Source organism: Homo sapiens, chromosome 1 (assembly GCF_000001405.40).
Source record: "Homo sapiens chromosome 1, GRCh38.p14 Primary Assembly".
Taxonomy (NCBI): Eukaryota; Metazoa; Chordata; class Mammalia; order Primates; family Hominidae; genus Homo; species Homo sapiens.
The window spans coordinates 245,201,641-245,222,327 of record NC_000001.11 but is presented as its reverse complement, the minus strand read 5'-3'; the positions used below and the strand labels follow the sequence as shown (position 1 = coordinate 245,222,327).

The window sequence follows — 20,687 nt, the reverse complement described above, 5'->3', positions numbered from 1 at the left end:
GTAGCTGAGATTACAGACACCCACCACCACACCTGGCTAATTTTTGTATTTTTAGTAGAGACGGGGTTTTACCATGTTGGCCAGGCTGGTCTCGAACTCCTGACCTCAGGTGATCCGCCTGCCTCAGCCCCCAAAGTGCTGGATTACAGGCGTGAGCCACCAGGCCCGGCCCAGACCATTTGTTAAGAGGGTCTTTCCCCCGTCACTAAGTTGGCATGTGATATTTCTTAACCATGACAACGTGCCTTTTCCTCCACAGATAAAAGAACTGAGAATGTACTCTAGAGTTGCACTCTTCACAGCTCGGGAGAATGACTGTTTCCCTCTCTGTCTCTGCCAAGTGCCACTTTCTGTCATGCATGTCATGCAGTTGAACATGTTTGATTCCACGGATATAAATTCCAATTCACATTATCCATATCCATTATCCATAGAACAGTCAGTCAGACCTAGAAGCCAAGGCTATTGACTTCTCTATACTTTAAAGGATAAAAACAATCACATTTAAAATTTTACTTCAAAACTCAGAACTGAATCTCACAAATACCAAGCTATCTGGTAAGGCTGCCTGAGTTTGTCAAGTTGAATGCAAACACAAAGTATAAAAAGTAGGAAGAATAGGCCAGGCACGGTGTGCCCACACCTGTAATCCCAGCACTTTGGGAGGCCGAGGCAAGCTGACCACCTGATGTCAGGAGTTCAAGACCAGCCTGGCCAACATGGTGAAACACCATTTCCACTAAAAATACAAAAATTAGCCGGACGTGGTGGTAGGGGCCTGTAATTCCAGCTATTTGGGTGGCTGAGGCAGGAGATGGTTTGAACAGGGGAAGCGAAGGTTACAGTGAGCTGAGATCATGCCATTGCACTCCAGCCTGGGTGAGAACAGTGAAACTCCATCTCAAAAAAAAAAGCAGGAAGAACAGAATTTTTTTTTTTTTTTTTTTTTTACTTCAAACTTCAGAGAAAGGCCACTTCTGACTGAAGGGCCACCACGCTTGTTAGAAATATTGCTGAGTGTTTTCAGCATGTGAGAAACTCTTTCCAAAGTTTTGCTCATTTATTCCCTTCTTTCTTTGGGTTGACCTCACAAGTTTTGTTGGTGACATTAGCTCCCCTGTTTGCCGTTACTGTTGATGCTCTTTCAGAAATATTTGGATATAGGCTACACACTTTCTTAAGATTGGAGAGGGAGAAAAAAAAACTCATTTCCCATTAACAAACTTATTTATACAAATGTCACTTTGGAACTTAACTGACACCATGTGCCTCCTCTGACACCAGCTGAGGGAAGGCAGTCATTAGAGGTCACACCAAATGGGGCTGTCCTGGGTCACTGTTTGGTTTTTATGGCCACTGTAATCCCTGGGGCCTGCTCCTTCCCGATCCCCTTCTTTCCCAGGCTTCAACTTGAGCATCCTGCAGATAAAACTGAGGACAGTGGAGCCGTGTGAAATTCATTACCCGTGGGGGACAAAACCACTCAGGCTGTGGTCTTCCCTCCCCAAAAGCCTGTCCATACCCACCCCAGCCCCCAAAACCCACACCCCATCCTCTTGGAATTCTCATTGTGTTTGGAAATTCTGTGGCTTTCTGAAACAATGCTGGTGTTTCTGGTAGTTAAAGAAAACCAGCTGCAAAACAGCACAACCTCCTTTTGAAAGAGACAGTATTTAATGCCTTAAAGAATGGATCTCAACCTCGCCCACCCATCCCCACCACCCACACGCTTTATTGGGATATTGTACAGTCACATGCCTTACTCCTTCGGGGTGCCTGACTAGTGAGGCGCACTCTCCACCTCACCCCGCGGAGGCTTCCCAAACCCAAAGCAAGAGGAGAAACGGAAGGGGAGGGAGCACAGGCTGTGAAGACCCTGGACCCCGGACCCTGGACCCTGGACCCTGGACCCTGGACTCCATCGTCTGGTCACTGAACCTCTCCAAGTCTCAGTTCCGACACTGGTGAAAAGTGGAGTCAGTGATCATTCTTACCTTAAAAGCCCACAGGGTTACTGTGAGAATTAGACGGGAACATCCACGGAAGGCTTCAGACCCCAGTCAGGATGACTTTCCTATCGGTGATTATTGTTACTATCCATCTAAACTGTCAAAGGGGAAACAAGTCTCAAGGAAGAAAACACTAGCTGTTCCTCTGATTTTCTGTTCCCACACCCCCCAAATTACCCACTGGTCTTCAACGCCACCTGGAACATGGTGCGGAGAGAGAGGCCGAAGCTCTCCTGGAAACACCCAGCAAGGACCCCTCCTGAAGGCCAGCTGTCCCCCTGGGCTCTCACCTCTGCCCCCTGCATCAAGTCTCCTATGAAGGCAAGGGAAGAAGCCCAGCAGAGTTTGGGCTGTTCGGAGAAGTCAAATAAGGTGGAATTTGCTAGGAACCCCCATAGTCTTTTGAGGCCTAGATATGGCTGTCCCAGTGGCCTGGGTGGGAGTCAGTGCTCTGTCCCCTGGCGCAGCCAACTCTTCCCTGGAAAGCAGGGAGCTGGCAGGAGAGGCAGTGATCAGGGTGAAAACTCAGGAAGACACACCTGGTGTTCTGGTTTCTTTCTTTGTTTTCTTTTTTTTGGGGTGGAGGGGACAGGATCTCACTCTGTTGCGCAGGCTAGAGTGCAGCGGTGCAATCACAGCTCACAGCAGCCTTGACCTCCTAGGCTCAGGTGATCCTCCCGCCTCAGCCTCCTGAGTAGCTGGAACTACATGCATGTGCCACCACACCTGGCTAATTTTTTGTATTTTTTGTAGAGATGGAGTTTCTCCATGTTGCCCAGGCTAGTCTGAAACCCCTGGGCTCAAGCGATCTGCCTGCCTCAGCCTCTCAAAGTGCTGGGATTACAGGCATGAGCTACCGCGCCTAGCTGCAAATACCTACTTCTATTAGAAACCAGAGCAGACTAGGCGCAGTGGCTCGCGCCTATAATCCCAGCACTTTGGGAGGCCGGGGCAGGCAGATCACAAGGTCAGAAGATGGAGACCATCCTGGCTAACACGGTGAAACTAAAAAATTAGCTGCGCGTGGTGGCGGGCACCTGTAGTCCCAGCTACTCGGGAGGCTGAGGCGAGAGAATGGTGTGAACCCGGGAGGCAAAGCTTGCAGTGAGCTGAGATCGCATCACTGCACTCCAGCCTGGGCAACAGAGCAAGACTCCGTCTCAAAAAAAAAAAAAAAAAAAAAAAAAAAAAGAGGTAGGTATTTGCTACCTCCTGTGTGATGACAATGCTTTCCCCTCTCAGACAGACACAGAGAAGTAACCCACGGTCAGAACAAGACACTCTTGACTCTTGGGAGAGGACATCTTCCCAGAGAGTAGATGGGGGCAGATGCTCCCTCCTGGCATACACAGTCTTGGAAGGGTCAGTGCCAACTGAAATGGCAAAGTCAGAAATGCCAACAAGAACCGGGGAAAGGGTTTCAGGTCTGGCTGAGTCAGCTGCCTGTCAAGCTTCTACAAAAAGCAGGAGTTAAGAGCCAATAACTTTTTAGTGGTTCATTCTGCCCCAAGCTCCCTTTTTTAAAAAGGCTCATCCTGTTTATTAATTCATAGATTTAGAAACATAAAGCCCCCCTACGGCAAGGTACCATGTATATTTGCTTATTAAAATTCTGAGCTAGAGCGCACATGTGAAATAGACATTGAAACTGTTTGTTCCAAGGCAGTCCCATCTTAGGCGATTCCATGCGGCACACTGCAGAGCTCCTGGGGTCACCCTGGGCTAGAAATGGGGCAGAAGAGACACCTCGGTTCTTGTTCTTCCATAGAGAGTTGATATTCAGATCTCCCGGCGGATTGAGTGAAAACCATCGGCCCCACACCCAATACCCTCCTGCTTTTTCCTCACTCACCCTCCTCTGCTCTTCTTTTATCTCTCAGATGGGTGGACAGGTAAACAGGGAGAAGAAAGACAGCCATAGAGTTCCCTTCTGCTTTTCACCTGAGCCCTCCCTTCCCCTTCCCTCCCTCAGAGTGACAACTGCTGCTACTATCCCTGTTTATCTTATGCTAACCAGACCAGGAGATGGGATCCATCTGCTGAGGGGACCCTAAGGCACCCCACTGAGAAGCCACAGGCACAGTCTGCCCCCGAGGGCCCGAATGTCACTGCTCTGGTGACATGAAAGCTGGAGTAGCCCCTGGGATTCCCAGCCTGAGTTCTGGGGCCCCCACCATGGCCTCTGGCCTCTGCCCGCTGCACAGGATCCAGACATGCTGGACTGTAGGTGGGCTCTCTTCAGAGTCACCAGGCAAAAAGGATAAAGAAAAATGGCCAAATACTGAGTCACCGCATGGGGGCTTTGGAAAGAATGCAGGACTAAGCCCAGTTCCACCAGCAGTTGATGAATCTCAGGCAGCTCATTTATTCTCTCGGTGCTTCTGTTCCACTTTTGTAAAATTCGGGTGACAAGAAAACCTAACCGGCAGGTTGGTGATGATCAAATGGGATGGCGCATGTGGGTGTGCAACTGCTGGCAGCTGTGACTGTTCTGCGGACCTGTGCTCTGAACTTTGGTTTCCTCGTCTGAAAGATGGAGATAATCATCTTTACCAGGCCAGCACTCAGGACTCTTGGCGAGCAAGGCGGGTATCGTGAGATTACAAATCAGGAATAATATGTGTGTCGTGATATTAAAATAAAACAATCGACCGGGCGCAGTGGCTCATGCCTATAGTCCTAGCACTTTGGGAGGCTGAGGCGAGCAGATCACCTGAGGTCAGGAGTTCGAGACCAGCCTGGCCAATGTGGTAAAAATCCCCGTCTCTATTAAAAATACAAAAAAAAATAGCTGGGCGTGGTGATGGGCACCTGTAATGCCAGCTACTAGGGAGGCTGAGGCAGGAGAATCGCTTGAACCCCAGCAGCGGAGGTTGCAGCGGGCCGAGATTGTGCCATTGCACTCCAGCGTGGGAAACAGAGCGAGACTCCGTCTCAAAAAAAAAAAAAAAAAAATTAACAAATAAAACAATCACCACCAGAAAAGAGAGTGAGAGTCATTTGTTGTCCAAATTCTAAAGAGAAATTTTTTTTCCAACTAAAAGCTTCTCTCCTCAATACGGCGTTTCCTGTTTCACTGCTAAATTGGGTGGAGGTTTTTGTTGTTCTTGTCATTGTTGTTGTTTTAACCATTGACACCCTTTTCTCCTTTCAAGTTGCATTAGTTTAGGGCAAATGAGACCTCAATCAGAGGGGAATTGGACATCACATTTGTGTCCCCAGATGAGGAGACAGTAATGGGGAACCTCCCTGCTGAGACAAATATCCTTCCCTGTGGGCGGGATGCCTCTGAGGCTGGGTCAGGAAGCAACAAAGGGAGCTCTCTCAGAAGCTCCAGGGACTGCAGTTGGCTCCCTGTGCTCTGTGTTGCCTCTCTAACAGATGCAGTAGCACAGTGATCTCAAATATGAAATAAGGCAAAAGTGAAACGATTTTATATTAAACACTTCAAAAAACTGCAGACGCAGTTGAGGCAGGAACGTGGTCCTCCTTTGAAGATCACTAAACCTAGCTAACTCTTTCAACACACTGATTTAGCCCAGAAAGAACCAATTTGCGAAAGAACCAAGGTCAAATATGACATTCCACATTGCAGAGCCGGGTGATGCCTATTTCCAGGGAGAGCAGCTCCCCATCTGACTAAACGAGCTCTTCTTCATTTAAAACCCAGAGATGATTCCAGGGAACATAAAGCATACTTTCCGAAAGGCTACAATACATCAATTTTTCTTGCCTGCGTACCATCTAGATTTAGCCACTTAGTTCATCTTAATAAACAAGTTACTCATTCAAAGGAAAATAAATGAAATGTTTTGCCTTGAGGGACAGTTTTATTTTTAATAGTTTGGTGCTACAGCAACAGAAGTAATATTCTGCCATCTGAATTGCCTTTTGTTCTTCGGGACTTCTTGAGGGTGGGGTGGGGGAGGGCGGGGTAAAGGTTGCAAGTCTCTGAGTTTACCCTGTTCATAAACATAAATGCAAGCTCCTTCTCCTGCCCTTCTTTTTGTTACAGATACATCAGATGTTGCAAGGAGCTTATTTAAAGAAATGGAAGTTTATCGTCATGTCAATGCTGTATCTTTGAAGTTTTTGTGTGTGTGTGTTTTTTTTTTTTAAAGCAAGTAATTCCCATAAAAATGGAACTCAAGGAGAAGGGATATCTCTTAAAGAAATAACAGGTAATATGCACAACTATGATGCTGGGGTCTGATTCCTATTACTTATTTATTTTTTAATTAATTAATTTTTTTTTTAGAGACAAGGTCTCATTATGTTGCCCAGGCTGGACTCGAACTCCTGGGCTCAAGTGATCCTTCTGCCTGAGCCTCCCTAGCAGCTGGGACAACAGGTGCTCACCACTGAACCCAGCTTTGACTTCGTTTAATATAAAGTCAAATTTTCTTTTAATATGTAATCTTGAAAGGAAGATGAGGTCATGCCAACATTATACCACTCTAAACAGTAGAGAATATAGGGGCACATTTTCAAATTATCTAAGGAACTCACATCATTAGTCCAAAAATATTCTGATCATAGAAGCCTCTAAAAAAACACAAAAGCACAAAGACAATACACAGTCACCCAATTTCTTCTATCCCAGCTTTCCAGATCCAGCACATACCCTAAAAGGGGCTGTAAGCCTCTCAGGAGCAGAGACCAGCTTCGATTCCATTTTCCACACCCCGAGCCCAGCATAAGGCCTGGGGCAGAGCTGACATGGAATGAATCTATGTTGAAGGAATGGATGCGTTAACTAACAAATGAAATGAATCCTCCAGAGGAGGAGAAGCCTCCACTGGCTTTCAGAAATGGAAGAGGGTAGAGTTCTCTCTCCACAGGCCCTGAGGAGCAGCATCTGCTTCATGTCTCAGAGCTGTGGCCTCCCTGGTCTCAGAGAGGCCTGTTCACGCATCAGGCAGCTCTGTCCTTCTCGGGAACTGAATCTACTTCACACCAGTCCTGGAAAACACCCTCCCAATAGCACGGTGAAGGGAGGTTACCTGGACCGTGTCATGCTGGGGCCGCTGGCTGGAGGGCACCTGGCTGGTCACCAAGGAGCCGGGCCCTGAGAGTACTCGGCCACCCTTCCTCCCATGGTGGCTGCCATCTGGCACCCAGAAACCCAGCCTGAGGACGTTTTCCATCATAGCCTGAGCCAAGCAAGAGAGGACAAACAGCAGGGAAAGAGCTTTAGTCTGGGAAGGGAAAGAGAAACTTCCCAGAGAAACTTTGGAAGAGAAGCTTAAGGGAAGGGTTAGGGAGATGTATGCAGAACAAAGTAGATAATCCTACCCGTTCTCCGTGGCCCAACTGACATGCCACCTCCTTCATCAAGTTTGCCCTCATTCAGCCGATCTCCCAAGATGCCTCCCTCTTCTTAACTCTGACTACTCTCATTCTGCTGCTCAGCATTTCCCTTTTACCGCCTACCATATTCTGTCTTCTATGTCGTTATTTATTTACTTATTTATTTTTCAGACGGAGTTTTGCTCTTGTAACCCAGGCTGGAGTGCAACAGCACAATCTCGGCTCACTGCAACCTCCACCTCCTGGGTTCAAGCGATTCTCCTGCCTCAGCCTCCCAACTAGTTGGGATTACAGGTGCGCACCACCAAGCCCAGCTAATTTTTTGTATTTTTACTAGAGACGGGGTTTCACCATGTTGCCCAGGCTGGTCTCAAACTCCTGACCTCAGGTGATCCACTTGCCTCACATGTTCATGTCCTGTACTATCCCATTTTAGGCTTGAGGCTGGGCTCTTCAGCACACCTGCACTGGACGCCCGCTCAAGGACTTGCCCTCTGTCTGGCAAAAAGCCTTCAAATGGGATGGTAATGTGTTATTTATTAGGCCAGATTGTGGATACAGATTGTTTGTTACATTCTTTATGCTCCTTTGTATTTCTGACAGAGTTTATGATGATATTAAAAAAATGTTTTTAGAGGCAGGATCTCACAGTGTTGCCCAGGCTGGAGTGCAGTGGCCCAATCAGCTTACTGTCACCTTGAACTCCTGGGCTCAAGCAATCCTTCCACCTCAACCTCCCAGGGAGCTGGGATTACAGGCACACACCACTAAGCCTGACTCTTTTTTTTTTTACTTTTTGTAGAGATGGGGTCTTGCGATGTTGCCCAGGCTGGTCTCCAATTTCTGGTCACTGAGGTATGTAATGAGCAGTGTTAAATTCAAGGGTATCTGGGACTCCCAGCCACTGAAACATCTATTTCAAATGGTCTTCCCATTTATCAGGTTTTCACCAAATTATAAACTTCGATGTTTAGGTCCCATCTACACATCCCTCCTTCCTGTGAAACAGATTTCCCTGCTAACAAAATCTCAGCGGCTGGTCCCTTTTGAAGAAACAATAATGTCATGGGAAGGGGTGTGGACAGAACTGTGGGAGTCTTACTGTGTGGCAACTTTAGAAAAATGTACGTTCCAGGTACAACGACTATCCCGTAATTACCTCAAGGTAGCCCCAGGCTCCATCCTCAATCAGGAAATTCTGCGTCAAGTGGAACTTAAAGTTGGGGCACCACATCTTTCATCACCTAAATAAGGAGTAAGGAACGGGCAGAACAAAGGTGCGGCACACGGTCACGTGTGCATCCACACCACGCACAACGCCTTCTGATGATGATGAAAGGCTCCCAGCGCTCTCAGGGTGATTGACTGCCCAGGCTCCGGTGAAGGAAGGCTCTGCTCCTAACACAGAAAGGAGTCTGGCCCTGCCTTCCTGCCCCACGCCCTTCTTTTCTTCTCTGTCCTCCCATCTCTCTTCCATTACCTCTGCTTTAGGTCTGCCTGGATCAGGCACTTCCATCCCTGAACTCCACCAGCGATCTCTGGGAGTTAAGGGTTTGCTGATCCCTCTTCTCAGAAAGAGAGGGAACACAGCTTTGGCTAAAAGACAGAAGGAGCATGAGAAATGGGCAGACCCTTCGTCAGCGTGGTAGCCTGCAGAGTTTATTTAACCAGCCAGCAGGAAAGAAAAGAGGACACTCCCACCAGGGTCTCCATGTGAGCAGATGGCCTGAAGTGGTCATGTGGCCCCTCTCCAGGCCCCCCACCAGCCTGAGAGTCTGTCTTTTGGGGTTAATTGTGGTAACCAAGCCCCCTTAGGGCCTAGTTAATTTCCTCTCCCTCCAGAGGTTCATTCTTAAAAATCTAAGATTGACCTAAATTGTTCTGAACCGAAAGGAAATCAAAACGAACAAGGTTAATTGGAAAAAACAGCACTCTGGCTACCTTAGGGTTTTATTTGCTCCCCCCTTGGAAAGCCACACTGATTTAAAGGATATTGGTCAACAGGCCTAGAAATGTGTGAATGCTGTTTATTAACTTGAGCTTTAATCTAACTGGGTCAACTTCTCACTCAGTGTTAGCGCCAGGGAGAACCCCCATCAATGACGTCTAGAATCCTTTGTAATTATAGTCATGAAAAATGCCATATGCTGTAAAATAATTTTACTCAATTCATGGGTATGAAGTGCTCCTTAAGTGGACGGGACTCTACTAAAGAGTGACCGGTGAGGAACAGGAATGGTAAAGTGGGGCGGTTCGAGCACACGGCTGACTCGGGGCCCGACGGTGCCGCCTCTCAGGGCGACAGCACGCAAAGTTACACCAAGTGCTCAGGCTTTGGCTCTAAAACCAAGGGGAAACTCGCTGAACTCATGCCGGCAGGCAAACGGAAGTTAGCTGACTGAGCTGCTGCTCTCGATGGTAGCAAAAGAGAGATGCAAGCCTCATTCACCCGTAGGATTGGGGGCAAAGAGGAGAGAGAAAACCTGCATTCGCTTTTCACCCTTAACTGCCCGGAGGCATCACATCTCTTGTGTCAATGTGGGGGATCTGGAGAGGGAAACACAACAGCTGAGAATGGAGCAAGAGCTGAAAAGGGACCTCTCAGGGGTTTGCGCCCATCACGTGGGAGAGAACAGGTGGCACGGGCGGCAGGGTGTCCTGCAGGAACGCAGAATTCCAAATCGCAGACCCACCACTTCCTGTTTTATCATGAGCAAGACTCCTAATCTCTTGAGGCCCCCAATTACCCACCTTTAAAATGGGGATGAGCAATAAAGACACTTCTCTCCCAAGTGGAATTATGGGAAATTGCTTCTAAGACGGAGACCCCAACCGTAAAATTACCAAGCACTGAAATGGAGGCCAGCCCCACCGCCCACTTCTGCCTAGAGCATCCCAAGCAGGCAGTGTTGTCGGGAAGGGTCTGGGGGTGGGGAGGGGCAGTGTCCCTGGGCCACGGCTAAGGGGGGACCCTTCCTCAAGACTCCAAACCGCCATGCTGGAGGGAGTACCACTTCCCACCAGCCCCAGGCTTTTCAGCCCCCTCCCAGGCCCCCGCTGAGGAGCAGTCGGGCAGAGCCCACTGCCGTGGGTGCAGGCCGAATGGAAATCACAAGCATTTGATACGGTGCGGTGCCAGCAAGCAGACTCTGCACTTTCTAAGAAACTGAGAAGGAAACAAGTGCTCCCAAGACAGAACTAAATGGTTCCTGCTAGAAAGTTCTTCCCCTGTTTGTGGGTAAAGTAAGGGAAGATGAGGAAGAGAAGAAACAGAGGATTTAAATTTTTTTCTTTATAAAAAGTTATCATGAGGCCAGGCACAGTGGCTCACATCTCTAATCCCAGAGCTCTTAGAGGCTGAGGCAGGAGGATCACTTGAGGCCAGGAATTGAGGACCAGCCTGGGCAACACAGCAAGACCCCATCTCTACAAAAAGTAAAGAAATGAGTCAGGCTTAGTGGTGCATGCCTGTAATCCCAGCTCCTTGAGAGGCTGAGGCAGGAGGATTGCTTGAGTCTAGGAGTTCAAGGTTACAGTGAGCTGATTGGGCCACCGCACTCCAGCCTGGGCAACACAGTGAGACCCTGCCTTGGGTTTGCAAAGCCGGCCTCCAGCACTGGATCATTTTGGGCCCTGTCAAGGGGCAGACAGCTAGACAGTCACAGCGGGCAGGGGATGGCCCAACTCTTTGGATGGTGAGTCTTTTGCATCTCGAGCAGGGAGAGACTTTCTACTGCCATGACTAACTGGGAGAGCCTCAGGCCACACAGGGGCTCAGACACATGTCTGGGGATCTTGCGGTGACTGCTCCCGTCCCACACCCAGCCAAACCAGATCCCGGTTTGGCTGGAATCAGGGCCTTTTTATTCACAAAAGAATATCGCGTTCAGCAACAGTTGGCTAGTCTCTCCCGTTCAGGCCCATCGCTGGGAAACATCACAAGAAGACACAAGGCCTATACAAGCATTCCCTTGGTGTGAGCTTAAAAACCGCCATACTCCTGAGGGATATATTTTTGGTCTGGAAAGACAAATAACGCTGTGGTGTCCCAAGAAGAACAGAACATCGCCAGTGGTAAAGGATAATGGGTGGAGCTGTGGAGAGGCAAATGTGTCTTCTGAAAGGGCTTCCTATGTCTAGGAGGTTTGTCTGGGGAAGAAAAAATGACAGAAGACCTGGATGCTCCGAACAGCCCTGCAGGACTAGCTGGCTGAGGACGGGCTTGGGAATGTCCTTGGTCCCTGCACTTGGAACTGGCTGATCTCCCCACACAAGGACAGGGCCTACCACAGGCTCTGGGACTCCCTGGCTCTGAGTCCAGCTTCTCCTCCTACGGTGATGGCCTCCTCTGGAAACACTCACCCTCCAGCTTCAATTCTTTTATTTGCATTAAACAAATTTTTTCACTCACTTCATGTTGTATTTTAAAATACGTTTTTTCCTCCTTGGGGAAAAAAATCCCACAATATAATCCAAATACAGTAAAAAAAAAAAAAAAAAGCTTAGGATATTGGGTTCCAGACAGTTCAAAAACTCTGCCAAAAGATTATATTTACCACCAGAACACCACATCGCAGAACAACTTCAGGATTAGGATATTAAAGTGAAAAATACTGAGTAATCCAGCAGCCGCAAGCCTGTCGGTCCTTCCCTCACTGCAGAGTGGGCCTGTGCGGGGTGGTCCCAGCAGCTGCCCCGGCTGGTTGGAGCCCATGGTGCCACCTAGGCAGAGAGGCTGAGGCCAGAGGCTGCGGGTGGCCTGATGTCACCCTGCCCATCCCTGGAATGAAAGCACAGCAGAAGCTGCAGCTGCGGGGCCTTGGGGGTGGGCTGACTGGGAGAGAGTCATGCTGTGAGGCTGCAGACACCCTGGGAGCTGATGGTCCCAGAGGGGTGGAGCCTGTATCTGCACCTCTGTTCCAACCAGCTGCATGGCACAGAGCTAGGCTTACATCCTTCCTGGCCTCTGGATTTTGATCTGGGCTAAGGCTGGAGAGCTTGATCATTCTGGCCAACACTCACACTGTAAGCTGACCCCCACAGGTTAACAGTCACCTTCCTTCCCAAGACCCCAGTATCTTCTTACGGGTGTAGTTTCCAGTAAGCAAATGCCTTGCACGCCGAGCGTGCCACCCGCAGCTGAGTCCCCTGGGTCGGGCAGTGCCCAGGGAAAGCATGGCCACCCACAAGCTGCCACAAGACCCCCAGGCCCTGTTTCCAATCTGCATTTCCCTTTTGATCTCCAGTCACTTCCTTGCACATACCAAATGCTCAAGTCAAAGCCATAGGCACCTTGCATTATTTCTTATGTGTGTACAATGTTCTCGGAATTTACCCCTGAAATGCTCAACCTCCACCGTCCACCGATGAGAATCTCTCATGCTCCAGGCCAGCCTTTCCATGAAGGCTTCCCGGCTCACCCCAGGGAAAAGAAACACCTCTCTCTATGTCCCACAGCTCTTTCTGTAACCTTTTAGAGCTCCCTTTATGTTTTTGTTTTTTCTTTTCCACTTCTACACGTGTTTCTGTACTTGTCTCTTCTTCTCCATTTGATTCATCCATTTGTTAATGTTTTCTTTTTTTATTTTTTTTCTTGTTTTATTTTTTTTAGATGTAGTCTCACTCTGTCAGCCAGGCTGGAGTGCAGTGGCATGATCTCAGCTCACTGCAACCTCCGCCTCCCGGGTTCAAGCGATTCTCCTGCCTCAGCCTCCTGAGTAGCTGGGATTATAGGTGTACACCACCATGCCCAACTAATTTTTTGTATTTTTAGTAGAAATGGGGTTTCACCATGTTAGCCAGGCTGGTCTCAAACTCCTGACCTCAGATGATCCACCCGTCTCAGCCTCCAAAAGTGCTGGGATTACAAGCGTGAGCCACTGCGCCTGGCCTGTTAATGTTTTTCTAAGTGTCCACTCTGTTATCGGTTCTATAGAGGATACTAAGAACAGAGGAGACGAGATCCTTGACCTCAAGGGACTTACAGTCTGGCGAAGAACTAAATAGCAATGGCATCTAATAAATACCCAAGGATGAGCAGTTGGTTTCATCTTCATACTCCCTAAGTGCCCAACACAGAGCCGATGGCCACACAGTGTTTAAACAGACACATGAAAGCAGTGACAGCGTTTTTGCTGTAAACACACAAAGAAGGTAGGAGCTGGGCTAGCTGAGCTCACTGGGACCTATAGTGGCGACTCACACATGCTACATTTTGAGATGAGATGCTGAAGGAGGTGGTGGCCTATATCCCCTCCTGGAAACCCTCCCCTGAATCTTACCTCTACTGCCCCCAAAGCCTGGCTGCGCACACTAAAAATCAGCTCCACCTGGAGATGTTGGGTCCTGGGTGGCAAGAAGCAAAGGAAAGGCAAAGAAGTCTCGTTTTCTCACTATCGACATCCGCTTGCCTCCCCAGGCCTCCACCTCAACATCTTTAACCTGAGGACTTTCTGTGCACGTACCCACGGCTGTGCCACCTCTCCTGAGGAAGGAAAATGAGCGTCAAGCAGCAGCAGCCAATTGGCTCTGTGGATGAGGCTAACTCAATCCCACTCGCCAGCAAGCCTGTTTATTTTATGTCCTTAGAGAGAGAAACACCCCTGAAAATGACCAACTTGTGTCAATTACAGAACACAAGGGCCTGGTGTTATCAATGGGGGAAGATAGATGTAAATTACAGCACAATGAACTCCGGTGAATTGGCTGTTAAGTGGGACAATGGACTAAAAGATGTTGTTTGGAGCACCTCATTAATAAAATTCAAAATTGTTTTCTGCAATTATGTGCAATCATTGCTTATTTTACCCCCAGCCAAGTAGAGTCCCACTGCCAGCCTATCGCTTTGGTTTCAATTGCCAAGAAAATTTCCCTGGCACAGAGGTGAGAATAGAAGAGGAAGCTCAGATTCGGATTTGAGGAGCCCTCGATTAACAGAGAATTATCTGTCAGGAAAAGAAATCTGCTGGAAAAGGGAACCAAGTGTCTCTCCAAGGTAGGGCTCGGGCACACAGCCCACCTCCGCGGGGGCTTCCAGATGGTTTTGCAGCCAGACAGCAAAAGGAAAGCTACTCTCTTCTCTGATACTCCCTCCTGCTACAGCTCTTTTATGAGATACATTTTTCAGGACATCTAACAGTGTTTGCACCTGGTAAGGAACTCACTAATGCAGGACAGAAATGGACACATCTCTTTACCAAAAAGGATGATGGTGTGAAAAACGATGTGTACGTGTGTTTGGGGGGAGCTGTGGGAAGTGGGTGGTGGAAAGTGGAAACTACCAACTTAGCACGGAGGAGGGAAAAGTTCCTCAGGCCTTCAATGTAGACCATCCCATGGTTTCCTCCAAAGTGAATGCCCCAGAAATTCTATCATGTTTCTTCCGGGTCCAGTAAACAACTCTCCCACCGGTCCTTAGGGAGTATGAAGATGAAACCAACTGCTCATCCTTGGGTATTTATTAGATGCCATTGCTGTTTAGTTCTTCACCGGACTGTAAGTCCCTTGTAAGTCCTTATCTACAGAGCCCACGTCTGCTACTCACTCTGTAATTTACCCCTCCTGCTGTGGCAGCTCTTCCCGCCAAAGTTGTCTTTCAAGTTAGCCAATCGGGTTCAGTTTAGATTGTGCGGTCCAACTCCAGCCAATGGAGGCAGGACACAGCAGTAAGGACAAGCTGCGTTAGGAATGAAAAAAACCCTTTCCCTCCTGTGTTCGGTGTGCTCTCGTGGCAACCAGTCCTGTGAGAAGCACCCTTCTGCAGAAGTAAATTTGCCTTGCTGAGAAATCTCTTTTTTGAGTGCTCGTTCTCCTTGTGACTCCTAGCTTTGCTTCCAACACAGGGAGTCCTGCCTTAATTCCATGCATCCTATTCTATTTATTCATCCATTTGTTCATTCAGGAATGCCCCACTCTGCCCTTCTCTGCCAAGTACCTTGCTAGGCTTAAGGGACACAGGCTTCTCTCTCCGAGGACCCTAAGCCGAAATCGTCAAAGCAAAACACATCCCATTTAAATATCATCATGCTAATTCAGACTTGATCATTCCAGCTGGTCAAAATCATTTGGATTCTTAATTCTGTGATCTCTGAATCTTTCTGTATTTTCCACATTCTCTACAATGGCATATATTACTTTTAAAAACAGAAAAACATTTTCACTTCCTGTTTAAAGTATAATGTTTTATAAACTAACTTAAGATATTTAATTTTTTTAGGAGCAAAGAAGCAAAATGGAACAGAGGTGGCCTACGGTCAGAGAGTTCATGGAAATTTGCTGGTCCTGCCTTGAACACTCAGACCTGAAGCACACATTCCTTTGCATGGCTGCAGTAAACAGCAGCATCAAGATCCAGGGTTGGAGACCACTCTCCAGTATTCTCCCGGCCTCCTTCAATAGTGATGCATCTTATTCCTCAAAGCAGCCATGACGGTTCATTCTTCAGATCAATAACTGCCTGCATAGCTATGTGCAACTGTGTCTTAGGCTACTCCACAGACTACAGTTGTTCTCTTAATGTCAAGAACACATTCTTGCATGATTATTGGATTAAACAATTGTCTTCTATCCCCACTCCCTTTCCCTACTCATAAGGAAAATCAATTTAAGGCATATCACATGAAATGCTTAATCCTTTGTGCAAAGATAAAGGAGGGTGCCCAGGACAGATGCAAAGAGTGGAAGAAGTGGGGACCACTCTGGGTGCAGGTGCAGTGACAGCTGAGGCTTCACATCCCACATCTGTACCCAAATATACCATTTCTGCCCACCCAAGCAAAACATTTTCCCAGAGTTATGCTTTAAGCCTTTACAGGGAGCTGGAGAATAAGAAGGGACTACTGATAACTTCAGGACATTATGTTTGAGTAAATATAAGAGAACCCAAGGTATGAGTCAACAAAGAGGGACCCTGGGTGCCCCGCCTGGTTCTCTGAGGATGGCAAAGACCAGCAATCAGAAAAGTCTCCTTGGGGGCTGGGCTCAGTGACTCACTCCTATAATTCCTGCACTTTGGGAGGGTGAGGTGGGAGGATTGCTTGAGGCCAGGAGTTCCAGACCACCCTGGGCAACATAACAAGACCCCATCTCTTTAAAAAAAAGTTTTTTAAATTAGCCAGATGTGGGCACCTGTAGTCCCAGCTACTTGGTGGGGGTGGGGGTGTGGGTGGGGGTGGGGGAGAGTGCTGAGTCAGGAGGGTCACTTGAGCCCAGAAGGTGTTCAGTGAGCCATAATCCTGCCACTGCACTCCAGCCTAGGCAACAGAACGAGACCCTATGTCTAAAAAAAAAAAAAAAGAAAAGAAAAGAAAGAAAAAGAAAACGTTCCTCAGGAAACTGTTCTGTTCTGTCAGCCCAGCACGAAATCCTGTGGCAGGAACATCATGGAAGTAGTTTTACACAGGAAGATTTGGTTGCTAGCATACCAGCCATACCATAAGGTTGCCAAGTGAGTGTAGCAATTGTGTAATTATTGTGGAAATGTAGTTCTCAACCACATCTTTCTTATGGTAATTAGTGTTGCTGGTTGAGCATATTATTATTATTATTGTACACTTCAAGTATTATTCCCCCTATATTCTTATAAGATTCAATAAGGCAGTAGTATTGCTGTGCTCCAGTTGTTTTTGCCTATAGAATAGGAATTAGTATACTTTCCATACACCTTAATGATAATACCACTATGAACTCTAGAAATAATTCCAGCATATAGTGTGCTTAGAATAAACTGCATTTACAAAAACAATACACTACACTAACGGTCTTTTTAACACGATGTCATACCCTGGTATGCACAAAAGCCAGTGGATCAGAAAGGCTGTGTTTAGAATGTACTCTACGGCCATATTTACAGAGGATGCAAAATACACACATGGACTCCATTTCACACCCCAACCAGGCCTGTTAAATGAACAATTAAGAAACAAGGCCCAGCACAGTGGCTCTCTCCAGTCATCCCAACACTTTGGGAGTCCAAGGCAGCAAGATCACTCAAAGGCAGGAGTTCAAGACCAGCCTGGGCAACATAGCAAGACTCCATTTCTACAAAAAGAAATTGTTAAAAATTAGCCAGGAATGGTGGTGTGCATCTGAGGTCCCAGCTACTTGGGAGGCTGAGGTGGGAGGATCACTTGAGCTGAGGAGTTCGACGCTGCAGTGAGCTATGATTCTGCCACCGCACTCCAGCCTGCGTGACAGAGTGAGACCTCATCTCTTAAAGAAAAAAAAAATCACACAAAATAAAGCCCTGGAAAAACTAAAAACTTAAGATTTTTAAGGGGATTATTTGCTCTGTGGTTGAGACGAAGCCATAAGAGAAATTTAAGAGATCCTTACAACAGCCAGGCGTGGTGGCTCACGCCTGTAATCCCAGCACTTTAGGAGGCCAAGGCAGGTGGATCACCTGAGGTCAGGAGCTCGAGACCAGCCTGGCCAACATGGCGAAACCCCGCCTCTACTAAAAATACAAAAATTAGCTGGGCATGGTGGCGGGCGCTTGTAATCCCAGCTACTCAGGAGGCTAAGGTAGGAGAATTGCTTGAACCTGGGAGATGGATGTTGCGGTGAGCCGAGATCGCACCACTGCATGCCAGCCTGGGTGGCAGAGCAAGACTCCATCTCAAAAAAAAAAAAAGAGAGATCTTACAACAGAGAAGACGCATTTCATTATAGTTTGAAATGAGTACAGTTTGGAGTGATGCTCCAAATAGTGTTGATACTTAGTGCTCTAACTGGAAAGTCTCCTGTATGAATTATTACCATCCATGAAGCCCCAGTGCCGTTTTCATTTGTTCCTCTCTCCTAGGCCTGATGTACCTTCCAGATCCCTTGTGAGAGCTCCTCTCCATGTCCCTAGCCAGTATGTCACTGCCACCTGAGCCGTGCAGGACAATGACTGCAGAAGGACATATGAAGTAAACCTACAGCATCTGCGTGTGAAGATGTAAGCTCATTGCTGACTCAGAGCTAACTGGCTTGGGGACAGCCTATGGATTTATCCTCCTCTGGAGTATGATTAGGAACTGGACCTAGTTCCTAATTATATTCAAGTAGCTTTGGTTGATAGCAGGTCCTCTGAAAACTTTATCCTGAAGCTCTTTCAACACCAAAGTTCACGTGGCAGCACCCGCTCCCCTCTGCTCTAGCAACTGGAATACGAATGTAGCCACAAAACATACAGGAAGTTTTCAGATTCACAGGAATAAATGTCACGGGGGGAGATGCCAAGATGCAGGATGCACAGAGACAAGGAGTGGAGAGGGAACTGAACGTCCAGGGAAAAGCGCTTTCATGCGGCACCTCCAGGGAGCAGGGAGAGGAAGCGCATCAAAAACTGCATGCACCATGTAAAAGTCCACTTCCTGATTCAACAAGGAAGACAAGTAAGAAAATCTTTACAAGTGGACAAATGCTAGCGGTGTGGCAATTGGGGGTCCCAGTAACGCAACCCACACACACTTTAAGAAGTATCTGTCCCATGGTGGGTTGTGACAGCTTGAAATCTATGCTGTTTGGGCATATGCCCAGCTAAAATGCAGATGGACACATCTTGAAACACCACAAGATAATCAACAGATATCTGTTGAATGAAAACCTATGGGAAAAGTAGGAGAAGGAGAAAGTGATGTGTAGTATTAAACATCTGTGAATCCAAAAACATTCTTGTGGCAATCCACGCAAAAAGCAACGATCGTTGTGCCCATTTTTCTTATGGATGCCAAAATCAGCTTCCTTGTAACTTTAACTCATTTTCTTTTTTTTTTTTTGAGACAGAGTCGCGCTCTGTCACCCAGGCTGGAGTGCAATGACACAGTCTCGGCTCACTGAAACCTCTGCCTCCCAGGTTCAAGCTATTCTCCTGCCTCAGCCTCCCAAGTAGATGGGACTATAGGCGCACACCACCATGCCTGGCTAATTTTTGTATTTTTAGTAGAGACTAAAAATGTTGTCCAGGCTGGTCTCAAACTCCTGACCTCATGATCCACCCTCCTCGGCCTCCCAAAGTGCTGGGATTACAGGCATGAGCCACCGCGCCCGGCCTTTTTTGTTTTTGTTTTGTTTTGTTTTTTTTGAGACAGAGTCTTGCTCTAGTCACCCAGGCTGGAGTGCAGTAGTGGGATCTCGGCTCACTGCAACCTCTGCCTCCTGGGTGCAAGTGATTCTCATGCCTCAGCCTCCTGAGTAGCTGGGGTTATAGGTATGCGCCACCATGCCCGGCTGTTTTTGTGTGTATTTTTTTTTTTTTTTTTTTTTGAGATGGAGTCTCGCTCTGTCACCCAGGCTGGAGTGCAGCAGCGCGATCTCAGCTCACTGCAAGCTCCGCCTCCCGGGTTCACGGCATTCTCCTGCCTCAGCCTCCTGAGTAGCTGGGACTACAGGCGCCCGCCACCACGTCCGGCTAATTTTTTGTATTTTTAGTAAAGACGCGGTTTCACCATGTTGGCCAGGTTGGTCTCGAACTCCTGGCCTCAAAGAATCCTCCCGCCTTGGCCCCCCAAAGTGCTGGGATTATAGGCGTGAGCCACTGCGCCCGGCCACTTCAACCCATTTTCAAACAGAGAAACTGAGGTTCAGAAAAATGAAGTAATGTTTTCCAAGCTCAGACCGGTAGATCAGGATGTGAACCTAGATCTGCCACACTTGAGAGGCCACGCTCTTCCCACTAAACCTGATTAGTCTGTGTATGCCAGCGTAAAAGAATTTCTCATCATTTTCTTGGGACAAACTTAGTTAAGGTAGAGGGTACACAAGGAGTGCTCTGCAGTGAGGGCAGTGAGTAACGTTGCGAGAGATGGCGAGGTAAATGAGAGCTTTCCTGGCTAATAATATTTCTCAGGTCTTACTGAATGTGAATAATAATAGTGGCTCTCATGAAAGGGCTTGCAGGGAGATGTGGTACAAATGGCCAAGTCCTCGAAAATGGGATAATTGAGTACATATGGCCTGCCTCGCAATCCTAAATAAAGCTGCTCTGTCATTCTAATGCCCCAAGGCCAACATAACATAGACCAACAGGCCTCCTGCCTTTAAATATTCAGGCTGACTTATAAAACAGCAACGACCTAAGCAAGGGCAACTTTAAAACCCCAACAGGAAATAAAAGACTTCTCCCTGGAGCATGAAGTCAAGCTGCCTCCTCAAATACAGTCGTACTCCTGTGCTGCAGAGTAGCTGGGGGTAAAAAGGATCCCTATTAAAAACATTCCTGCAGAAACATGGCAAAATGAGAAATGGATCCCCTTCCCCCCGCCCCCACGCCTCCTAAAAAGGGGGCTTGTCTCCCGCTTAGAACAGGCTTTAAATAGTAGATAATGACTTCTGGTAATGCTTAGCTTTGATTTCTTCAGGTGGTGAACCTAAGGAAGTGGAAAG

General features: G+C 47.7%; 1 protein-coding gene and 1 long non-coding RNA gene across 2 annotated transcripts in view, besides 2 other annotated features; one reads left to right on the top strand and one right to left on the bottom strand.

The window, feature by feature from the left end:
- The window catches only part of KIF26B-AS1 (KIF26B antisense RNA 1), a 28,074-nt gene extending 12,190 nt beyond the window's left edge, over window positions 1–15,884 (top strand). Inside the window, exons 3-5 of the long non-coding RNA NR_151721.1 lie at window positions 6,025–6,190; window positions 8,122–8,174; window positions 15,535–15,884. This is a non-coding gene — a long non-coding RNA (KIF26B antisense RNA 1). The remainder of the gene's footprint in view (window positions 1–6,024; window positions 6,191–8,121; window positions 8,175–15,534) is intronic.
- KIF26B (kinesin family member 26B) overlaps window positions 1–20,687 on the bottom strand; it is a 554,448-nt gene that overhangs the window by 487,105 nt on the left and 46,656 nt on the right. The gene's annotated exons all lie outside the window — the stretch shown is intronic.
- Window positions 7,874–9,073: an enhancer, noted in NCBI's record as "BRD4-independent group 4 enhancer chr1:245376557-245377756 (GRCh37/hg19 assembly coordinates)". NCBI's record gives its function as "activates an origin of replication core promoter dependent on BRD2, P300/CBP, MED14 and CDK7 cofactors, and independent of BRD4, by STARR-seq in HCT116 cells {active_cell/tissue: HCT116}" and the evidence as "EXISTENCE:reporter gene assay evidence [ECO:0000049][PMID:35650434]".
- Window positions 19,417–19,627: a silencer, noted in NCBI's record as "fragment chr1:245366003-245366213 (GRCh37/hg19 assembly coordinates)". NCBI's record gives its function as "represses an EF-1alpha promoter that drives an FKBP-Casp9 reporter gene in an ReSE screen in K562 erythroleukemia cells {active_cell/tissue: K562}" and the evidence as "EXISTENCE:reporter gene assay evidence [ECO:0000049][PMID:32094911]".